Raw genomic sequence first — 11,661 nt, 5'->3', positions numbered from 1 at the left:
AGCATAAAACTATTAGCTAACAATTTGTCATCACTAGTGGATTCAGAGAAAGTCTGGGACTTAATAAAATCTGTTCTTTTGCATTGTTGGCCTTATACTAGAAAATAAAATAATGACAGCACTAACTTATGGAAGAAAAAACAACTTCATGAAAATTTTTTCATTATTTTTCTAAGAAACGATGAATGCAAATCTTGAAAATCTCCTGAATAAAGAATAGAAAACTATTTGCTCTAGCAGTTAGCCAATCAGAAAAAAAAATGTTTCCCCCAACTGATTTTACCAAACTGATTTATCTGACTTACATCTTAAAATTATGATATGCAGTTTTTCTCTTCTGGTTGATCTACCAGGCATAGTGGAATTTTAATCCTGTTTGGAGCCTGCCTTGTCTCCAAAATGTCAAACTGGTTGGCATAAAACTTACTCCCTTTGAAGTTCGGTTTATCAAGTGTCAAATAGGTTTTACAGATATAAATTATTATTAAACATGACTTAAAAGTGACATAAAAGAAAGGAATAAAGTTATACGTTGCTAAGAGGATATAGTAACTTTTATATTTTATATCTAGGACAATCTAAAAAAATAATATAAATATAATTATTCGTAGTTAAAGATATGAAGTGATATGGTGAACATGGAAAAGTTCTTGGGAATATTTTGGTGCCCTGAGAAGTCTGCTAGTAAACCATACACATCTATGCAGTTCAGTGTCATGTTTCATCCCTATCAATGTTATATTATGCCCGGAAGAGCTTGCAGCTGATTTTTATAAATGACTAAGAGTCATTTATATTATTAGTGCCATAATATATATTCCCTACCACAATTAAGACTTGAAAACATTGCATATAAATAGGCATTTTAAGAAAATTAATATTTTGTGACAAAAAATGTTTAAATGGAGCAAGAAATTAGCTGAATAAAAGAAACACTGACCATTTAAGTGTGTTATGGAAGCTTATCATGCTACAGTAATATATTTCCAGCCGGCTGTTTGTCCATATCATTCTTGACTTAACATGAATTCATATATATTACCAGTGGGTAGTTAGCCAACTTTACAACCACATGCTACTGCATTATGTATTCCCAGACGACATTCTAGATGCTAGGGTTATAGCCGTCAACAGACAAATAAGGTGTTCATGTGCTTACATTCTAATGGGAACAGGCTGCTGCAACAAAAAATTAATAAAAAGTAAGTTCTGGTTGTATCAATTGCTGTGAAAAAATAAAAAATATATATGATAAAGAGTGACTGCCTTTGCTAGGGGTAAGGTGGGATAAGAAATAATGCTTAGAGGAGATAGTCAAGGGAGGTCTCCCTTAGAAGAAGCCTGCCATGGTAAATTCATTCAAAGAATGAAACATCGTGACTTGTTCCATGTAAAATAATTTGTCCTCTTTATTTCTGTTCTTAGAAATCCATGGACCAAATATTCCCAACATTTCTCAGTTACAGAAGTTTTTTTGTTTTGTTTTGTTTTGTTTTTAAATTGAAATCCAAAAATACCCTTCTGGGAATGGCTGAACCCCCTGAAAATGTACGCTAAATTTATTATATAGATGTGGTTGTGTACTCTTTCTGGTAGAGGATTTCCAGTTTTCATCAGATTTCCAAAGAAATCCATATCCCAGAATACCACTACTATGTCAATTTAATCTAATTTAATCCCAAATTTATTAAATATCCTTATAACAAGCACTGAATGGCTGTCATCTTTCTTGCAATCTTCAAGAATTTCAGCTTGATTCAGAAAGAAAAGAAATCAACATCCTAGTATCAGTAATTTTTTGTGTTTTGTTTTCATAAGAACTCAAGATGAAGTTGTTCCTTGTAAAACCTCTGAGGAGATTATATAGATATATGACTGAATCCAGTTATTTTTCTGTGACAGAGCCTTACAGGCACATTCTTGTTAGATTCAGTGACCCAAGAGTCTCTATTATGAAGTCTGTCCTACATCTATCTGAGTCTGGAGAACATTGTCTTATAATGCTAATGCAGCCTTTTGGCAGCACCATTAGACTCTGACTGCAATTGAGCAGATGCAGTGTGCTCCATCAAATTTAACTGCAAATTCCTTTTCTGAAATTAGCTACTGCAGCAACATATAAACAGCAAAGAGAAAGCTTTTAACACTTGCCATGGTTTAGAAACTATGGTAGTTGACGTGCGCATAATCTATAGCTTCAGGATTTTTAAAAATGTTTATATTAAAAAAACTGCAGTCACACGCAGATAAAGTCATGTTGAGTACAGAATTGAGGCTGTTTCCATCAGTGATGTTTACTTTGACTTTTTCTTATAAAGGACTTGAGAAGACTTACCCATTAGCTTCCATTTCAATGTAAACCAAAAATAATAAAAATAAGTATTTTCATTCTCTCTCTAGTATCTTTATTAAACTTCATTAGAAACTATTCTTGGAATATGAAGTATACATAGAAAAAGAAGTTGAACAATTTCTTACATTATCAGATTTTTATGAAAAGATAAAATCTAATCATGTAAATAAATGCCTGTTCCAAGTATTTGTTCTCAGCAAGTATCTTCCAATTTTTTCTGTTCACTCAGTGATTTCAGCTGTCATTCAATCAATTTCCCGATCTCCATCTCTATGCCCAGAATTTGGTGCCCTGTTTCGAAATGATTCTTTTGTTTACTGACCTCTGTTACCTTTCCTGTATAACCAGTTTTACTTTTTCCTTTGGCCAAGGAGTACTGCCATCAGCTACTGCTTTATGAAATGTTCCCTGACGAAGTAAGCCATTATTTTCCAACTCAGATGAAAGAGTGAGGTATATACTCTCCCTCATAATTCACTTCAAGGTTAACCGCGAACTCTCTTTCATTAAATTTTGATTCATCTTTTAGAATTTACTGAAGACATCATCTTATTTCATATAGAAACATCATTATTTTGTGTTCCCTTTGTATTGATTTTGTATTATCAAATTATCACACCACATTGCAATGATTTGTTTCCTTCATGTTTAGTGTGGACTCCTCAAGAGTGGGGTCAATGGATCTTTGCCTTACATACCTGCCCCTGGCAAAGTGTCTGACAGAGTAAAACCAAAATAAGTGTTAGTAACCAAAGAAGTATAAGTGGTCAAGTAACCTCTTTACCATACATAAAAACACTAAAATATTTGTTTCATTCTGGAAACATCATGATAAATTAACTTTTCCAAATTTATTTTATTGGAAATATATTTCTATATCTTACTAAGGTAAAATTCTAAACATAAGAAGTGTCAAGAAGGTAAAACTAGGCTTAATTTGCTCTCTTGGGTGAGTGGGCCCCTTCCTGATACAGTACATTTTATTCCAGGGAAAAAAAGCTTAAAAGGGCTCCCATAGTTATTTTTGTTATTTTTCTCATTAATACCTGTTTTTAAAATAAAAAAAACATTTTAACTTTCACCCACTCAACATTTGATTCCCGACTTTCCCTTTTCTCCTTTAAGTAAAAACTTTTCATAGAAATATGATTTGTCTTTGGCAGAACAGACAGAGTTTTATCAAAGGGACATGTACTACCAAGGCCAGGGAAAGATGAAGGAGTTACCCCCTCCTTCCTTAGCCCATGTTTTCAAGGGGTACACCAACAAGAAGCCTGATGTTCATTAATCAGTCCAGTTTCTAAGTAAAGGCACCTGGTAAAGCCTTTTAAGTAACATCAGTGAAGAACAATTCTTTATATAATGTAAGCAATTCTTCCAGAAGGCAGAATATTTGTTTTAAAGTTAAATATAATGATACGTCTCTGAGCAAAGTTTTTTTTCTGTAAATGAAAATATTGGGCATAGTTTTCAAAAGCTGCTCTTTCGAGCTTGAGGTTTTCTTCTGAGTCTACCATAAAAGGATAGATGAACCTAATTGAGACAATATAATAAATCACAAACTCTTTCATCAGCTCCAATAAAGACAACCTTACTTTTATCTACTTTTAAAAATGTTTCTATGTTGGGTTTTTTTTTTTTTTTTTTTTGGTCAGAAAACATTTTGTGGTTTAAAAAAAATAGTATGAAAACCACTTAACCAGATGGTCTCCGAGCTTTCTTCCTTCTCTAACCTTCTACTAATCTGTGATTCTAAAAGATCAATAAAGACTGTGCATGAACTGGAACTCATGGTTCTGTAGCTCAGATTGAAAGGGAAAATACCAGAGGGAAAGGAGAAATAAAATAAAAGTTTACCAATTCAGTTTCCAAAAGTTTTTAAGTAGTTTCTGGAGAGTTACCTACATTATGTTAAAACAAAGACAAACATTTCATATTGCTATTATTTGACTAAACTTGCTACTTACCTAGGAATATTCTCTCCCACACCTCAGTTCAAAAGTCTATGGCTCTTTCCTCATTACACTACTTTTAAGAACTCCTCCTATCACTTTCTTCAGCTATTACTGAATTACTTCCAAATTCATCTCACATCTGCAATTTTAGCATTTCTAGCTATCTAAATGATATCTGCATGCAAATGTTCAATGAATTTCAAGGTAATATCTCCATAAATGGACTAATCTCTCCCACACCATCTTCTTAGGGGATACAAAGTCTAATCTCCTTAAACACAACCTTATACACCTCCTTATACACAACCCTTCATCATCCTCAACAAATAAGAATTTAGGTTTCACTCCTCTTCATTTTCTCCCTGCTGTCACTTCTACCTATAACACTGTCTGTCATATCTTTCTTAATTGGTTACTTCTTGCCCCTGTTTCAGAGATGATCTTAAATTTTTGTTCTTTTAGGAAGCTTTCCTAACTATTCCCTTAGGTGTGTGATTTGCTCCTTTTTGTGTGCTGTCATATATTACCTTGTACTTATCTCTATCACAGCAATTGAACTACAAATAAATATCTATTTACTTGTCCACTTCCCACCCTAGACTATGAATCTCCTGGAGTCAAGAACAACATTTATATTAACATAGTGATTTCTGCTAAGTAGGTTCTATATGTTGCTAACTTGACCAGCTAAACCATTATATTTGATAAATAATATCACTATTCTTCTGGACACATTTAACTCTTCCATCACCTTCATTCCCTATGTCCAAATTCTTACTAAAATACACAAATCTGTTATTTCTTCTTCCAAAAGACTTTCTCCTCAATCTTACTGACTCACACCAGCACTACAAGTGACACAAGGTTTCACCACCTTCTATCTGGAAAATATACTACAATATGCTGCTGACAGATATTTCTTCCACTCTCTCTCCACACAAAATGGAACCTGCATTATTCCATCAGGTTCATATTCATAAAACATTTATAACACACCTTTGCTCATCAACAAACCGCTTTCTGTTTCCCATTACATCAATTTTAAGCTGTACTGGCAGTATCCGCCGGACATTTAGAACTTAATTTTCATTATTCTCCAAATACTCATCCAGTCATTCAGTCTCCATCCTTGTCAACAAATGCACAATACAGACTTCTTTCCTCTAAGCTTATCTAGTATCCACATTCTGAATGTCATCTTTCCTCTCTTGTCGAAATTTTCACTTATGCTTCCCAGACCAATGTAACGCCTACTCAGGCCAAATAATTCTGTATATAGCATCAAAATTAAAAAGAAAGGTAAAACAAGAGTCACACAAATTCACAAGAAAGTATGTGTTTTTGGTTTCTGCAGGAGTATACAGTGATATTGGTGAAATGATTTTCAGGAAAGAGCAAGTTCACATATCTATTATACAAACAAACAAAACCTTGTCCTTGACATAATAGCACAATTAATTACTTTCCCAAATATATGTGAGCTGTTTGTCAGACCAATTTCTGTCAGAAGCTGACTAATGGTGCTATAAAATCTGCTCAAATAAACCTTGTTTTTGAACAAGGATTTCACCACAGCAACTCATATTAGGTTCATTACTCTGGAGGAATGATTCAATTTCTAGTGGTTCTAAGAAATAGAAGCAACGCCTCCTCTAATGACTCTCCAAAGGGAATTGGAGTATTTAGTATTATATAAATATGTTTGTACTACACTGAAATTCCTCCTTGAGTCTTTATCCTCTCTGGGACTTTCTTTAGGCTGATTTTGAGGCTTCTTAGGTCCAGTGAAAGCTTCTTGACACCTTAATGTTTGACTTTCACCAAAACCAGGGAGATCCCCAAAATCAGTTTAGATCATAAATGAATAATAAAGAAAAGATAAAGGCAATGTAAGAAGATAAAGTCAAGCTTTTAGTAAGAATTAAAAAAAGAAGTTTAAGTTATATACAAGTTGATTGAGTTGAAACAATTCACTCCTTCATTCAGTAAATATCTATGGTGTGTTCAAAAAATACCAAGGGTAACTACTAAATAAACTAGATGTTGGTTACTGTGGACACAGAAACTAATTAAAGGCAAACTTATGGGCTTCTTTTATGAACTTTGCAGTCCACAGTGCTTGAGGAATTTCATAAGAGCCATTGATGACCTAGGAGAACATCTCTGTTTCTCACCGCGTGCTCTGTAGGCTTATTTTCTCTATTGGTCACTTCGTTAAATGCTGCAAGACTCAGTTTCATATTTTTGAACCTGCTTATTTTCTCTAATTCTCGTACACTGCCAAACAGCAAGTAAATTCCATTATGACAGAGACTATCGCTGTGTTATTCATGTTTTTTAGTTGCAGTGCCTAGCTTAGTGCCTGGAATATAGAGGTTTCCCAATGAATGTTGAAAAAATGAATGAACAAATGAAAGAATGAAGCAATCAATTGTTTTTTAAAAAAAAAAACCATTATCTCAAAGTCAGAATTCCAACATGTATATCTCAACATCTGATATTGTTTAGTTGTTTATTTCTCTATTCATTTTTTAATTGCTTTGAATTTTTTGTGTTCATATACCTAATAGGATCAAATACATGTTTGCCTAAACACAGTTATTAGGTAGCAGGTTAAAAGAAACCTCAAATCTGGAGTCTGCAATAACACCAACCAAATGCCTCAGTTATTTTTACCTATAATGTGGTAACAGTGGAAAAATATGATTAAGACTTTGTACAACTATTGTTTCTACTACTCCACCACTACTCGTACTAATAATAATACTAAACTAACAGTAGGGAATATTTGCACTTCTGTGGTCAGCTTAATTTTTTTTAAATCATATTGAAACAGAGATGAGTATTTCGGAATGTAGGGTTACATTTTTTAACCTCTTAATCGTATCTGTGGAACCATAACCAAAGAATGAACCACTGAGAGACAAATTTTCTTCCCCTCTAATAATAACTGAGATAAATCTTCTGTTATTTTTGTTCCTCATCAGAATTTTAGTGTTCCACTTTTATAGCTAGGCCGTTTAGCCCTTCTGTTCTTATAGCTTGCAGGCAATTGGAAACTTCTTATTTTTCCCTAAGGGAGGTAGAGATCCACAGTATAAAGTCAGCATTTTCTTAAAAATCATCGACATCTGTTGCAGTCATAAGTATCTTGCCTTTCGAGGCTCCCCAGAACATCCTGCAGACAGAACTTTGCCCACACTTACTGCTTCAGCCAGAAAAATAAAATAAATGCTTCGCAAGACTGATGTAATGGTCTAAGGAAACAGAATACAGTTGAGTAAAGAAAGCATAAAGACTGCAGTGCTGCATATGACATAGGAATGGAATCCGATTAAATTAGATGTATTGGGCCATTTGCCCATGTTCCCATTTCTATTTTCCCCAAATGCCACAGAAGTGTCATAGTATAAAAAGATAATAAGAAAAGTTAAGTCCACCAGGTGGTCTCCTACATCTAACAACTGTGTTTTCACTTTATTGACTTCCAAAATTCTTAAATCAAACCACATAGTCTTCAGATCATGTTGATGTTGTACATTTTATTTTCTATAACTTAGACCCTCAGAACCACAGGAGTTGTAAAGTCTCATTTTACCAGCAACTTTCAGATAGTCAAGGGGCCAGACTGCAGACTTTAATCCTCAGAAGAATCATGCTGAGTTTTAGTCCCCAGCAGAGAAAGCTGCTTCTACCTTTCTTGTTATTAACAGTCAGGCTGTGTTAAGATGATTTCATTTTTATTGAATGCCATCTATTAACTGGCTAGTACTAAGTCCTTCATTTGTCAAAGCCTAAAGTGCTTATCTGCATGAGATACAAGTTTTCTAAGCATGAGAAATGACCATGAAATAGTAATGCATGATTCGTTATAAGGTATGTTGATCAAAACTATTTTTAAAAACAAAGACATCCAATAAGGCTGATATTTTGGGTAGCTACTAAAAAAGGAAAATGAAGGGAAAAAAAAGGTAATCTGGATTGTGGTTTATATTCATCACTACTCCTAATGGCAAAGGTCAAAGGAAGACCTTACTTGTTAAGAATCGAATTTTCCTTCTCCTTTTCCCTGTGTCTCATGGTAAAGAGTAAAAGGGAAGCAAGAGAACTCTGACGGTTCTTGACAAGAACTTCCTGTTTCCCCATCCCACTACCCAAGGTTCACAGACGGAGATCATCTAGTCTAATACCCTTGGTCCAAGAAACCTAAAACTAGAGTTCAGTCTACTTTCCTATGACATGTACATCCACTTTCAGATTTTTGACTCCCAACCAGTGTGTCCTCTGGAACTTAAAATTTGTCATAAACAATATCCCCCACCTTTCTAACCTCTGCTCCAAAAGCTCCCTTCATCTTGATCTAATGGAAACCTGCCTACAGTAACAGTTCTTAAGCTTACCTCAATTTTCTGGAGAAATGTCTGTTGGCTTTTTGCTTGTTTTTTAAAAACAGACTTTTTTAGAGCAGTTTCAGGTTCCAAGCAAAACTGCACAGAAGGTACAGAGACTTCCCACATGCCTCCTGTCCCTATGCAGGCAAAATTTCCCACATTGTCAATAGCCTGCATCAGAGTGCTTCATATGTTACAGTTGAGGAAACTACACTGACACATCATTATCACCTAGAGTTCATAGTTTACTTCAGGGTTCACTCTTGGTGTTGTACATTCTATGGGATTGGACAAATGTATAACAGCATGTATCCACCATTGTAGCATTATACAGAGTAATTTTACCGCCTTATAAATCTCCGGTTCTCCACCTATTCACCCCTCCCTCCCTCCTAACTCCTAGCAACCACTGATCTTTTTACTGTCTCCACAATGTAGTCTTCTTCAGAATGTTGTAATGTGTAATTGGAATAATATAATATGTTGCCTTTTTACATTGGCTTCTTTCACTTATTAATATGCATTTACATTTTCTACATGTCTTTTCATAGCTTGATAATTCATTCCTTCTTAGCACTGACTACTATACCATTTTCTGGATGCACCACAGTTTATTTATCCATTCATCTACTGAATTGCACTGTGGTTGCTTCCAAGTTTTAACAATTACAAATGAAGCTGATACAAACATCTGTGTATAGGGTTTTGGGTGTACAAAACTTTTCCATTTCTTTGGGTCAATCCAAGGAGGAAAATTGCTAGGTCCTTTGGTAAGAGTGTGTTTAGTATTATAAGGAACTGCCAAACTGTATTCTAAAGTGACTATACCATTTTGTATTCTTATCAGTAATAAACAAATATTCCTGTTGCTTCACATCTTCACCAGCATTTGATGTTGTTAGTGTTCTGGATTTTATCCATTCTAATAGTATAGTAATACTTCATTGCTGCTCTAATTTACATTTATCTGATGACATATGATGTGGAGCATTGTTTCATATGATTGTTTGCCATCTGTATATCTTCTTTAGTGAGGTGTTTGTGAAGGTCTTTGGCGCATTTTTAATTGGATTGTTTGTGGTCTTATTGTTGAGTGTTAAGAATTATTTGTATATTTTGGATGATAATCCTTTATCTGATATGTCTTTTACAAATATTTTCTCTCAGCCTGTGGATTGTCTTTTCATTCTTTTGACAGTGTGTTTCACAAAGCAGTGATTTTTAATTTTAATAAATTTTTATCAATTTTTTTCATAAATTGTGCCTTTGGTGTTGAAACTGAAAAATCATTGCCAAACCAAAGGTCATCTAGATTTTCTCCTATGTTATCTTCTAGGAATTTTACAGTTTTATGTTTTACATTTAGATCTCTGATCCATTTTGAGTTAGTTTTTGTGAAGGATGCCCAACTATTCCAGCATCATTCATTGAAAAGATTATATTTTCACTATTGCATTACCTTGCTTCCTTGTCAAAGATCAGCTGACTCTCTTTGTGTGTTTCACTGGCCTTTTTATACTGTTCTCTAGAATCTACCCCTCATGGATTCTGATTGACTTGGTCTTGGATGGGGCCCAGCAGCAGTATTGCTTTTAGCGTTTCTGAGGAGACGTTAATGTTTCTAGTAAGCTATCAATGCTGAGAACCTCTACTGAGTCTAATGGAAAACTAGCTCTCCCCAAGGGACATAACTTTCTCTTTCAAAGAAGGCTATTTCCTCTCTGACTGGCCCTCATACACCTGGGTCTAGAGGTGAGTTTGGGTTCTCTATGCTCTTCATTGCCACTCACTGTCCACTCATTCCAACAGCACCATTGCTCAATTTTGAGTCTCTTGTTGTCAGGCTTCAGCATTCATTAAATTTCTTTGTAGAATCATCTGCAGACCTTCAGATCTCACTCGCTTTTTTCCAATATTTTGCATCCTGGCTCATCATTGCTGTCTCCAACACTACTACTGCAGATGATCTTCCAACACTGGCACTTCTCAATTCCTTAACCTACCGACTGGTGGCCTAATCCTAAACTACCTGATCATGTGGTCGTACCCCCAGATAAGAGTATGTATACACAGATTGCTTTTCTTGTGGAAGCTTTTTCTTTTTAGAGAATTAGCATCCTCCTTACTTAGATAACACTGTTTTTTTGTTTTGTTTTTTTGTTTTGTTTTGTTTTTACCAAAAAGCAAAAGTAATCAATTCATCACACAAAGAAGCTGGGGAATTGCATCAACCCTATAGATGGTGGTGTAGAAGAAACCACATTTCACGAAAAGACTATAAGCCAAATTCCATTGCTATTACCTTAAGGTATTAGAATTTTTATATATTGCATGATTCTCAACATAAACTCTTTTGCCGCAGTTATATTTTTGTTGTTACTAAATAAAGAATTAGATTATGATACAATTAATTATAAAGAGATTTGACCTATTATATGCCACAAGGAAGGGTTTCTATTAGGCAATTAGTCAGTTTTCTAATTGAAATAAATGTGTTTCAATCATCCTGTTCCATAAGGAAAGGAAAAAATGACTTTAATAATTGCACTTTGCATTTCTATAGCCACTTTCATCTAAGAAGCTCAAAGAACTAATTTAATTAAACCTCCAAATACTCCCATGAAGTAAGTGTTATTATTTCCATTTGACAAAGGTTTAAATGAAGTCACAGAAAGATTAACTAACTTGCCTGTGGTTACACTGTGAATTAGTAGGGAGGTCAGAATAAATGCTCCAATCTCAGAAAGATTGTTCTCTATAGTATAGATTGACAATCTCTCAGTACCATTGGCTTAACTTCTGCTTGCGGTTGGAGCAGTGCAGGATTTTAATTCTTCATTAGTTGGGGAAAACTGAAGCATAGAATTTACAAAAATGTTTTAGATTTTCATTTTTGTATCTTACTTTCTGGAATGGTATTCGTTTGCAGCAAATTCTGGTAATATTTTCTTCCCTTTTCAGT

This window comes from Homo sapiens, chromosome 1 (genome assembly GCF_000001405.40).
Source record: "Homo sapiens chromosome 1, GRCh38.p14 Primary Assembly".
Lineage (NCBI taxonomy): Eukaryota > Metazoa > Chordata > Mammalia > Primates > Hominidae > Homo > Homo sapiens.
This window is presented reverse-complemented; position numbering follows the sequence as displayed.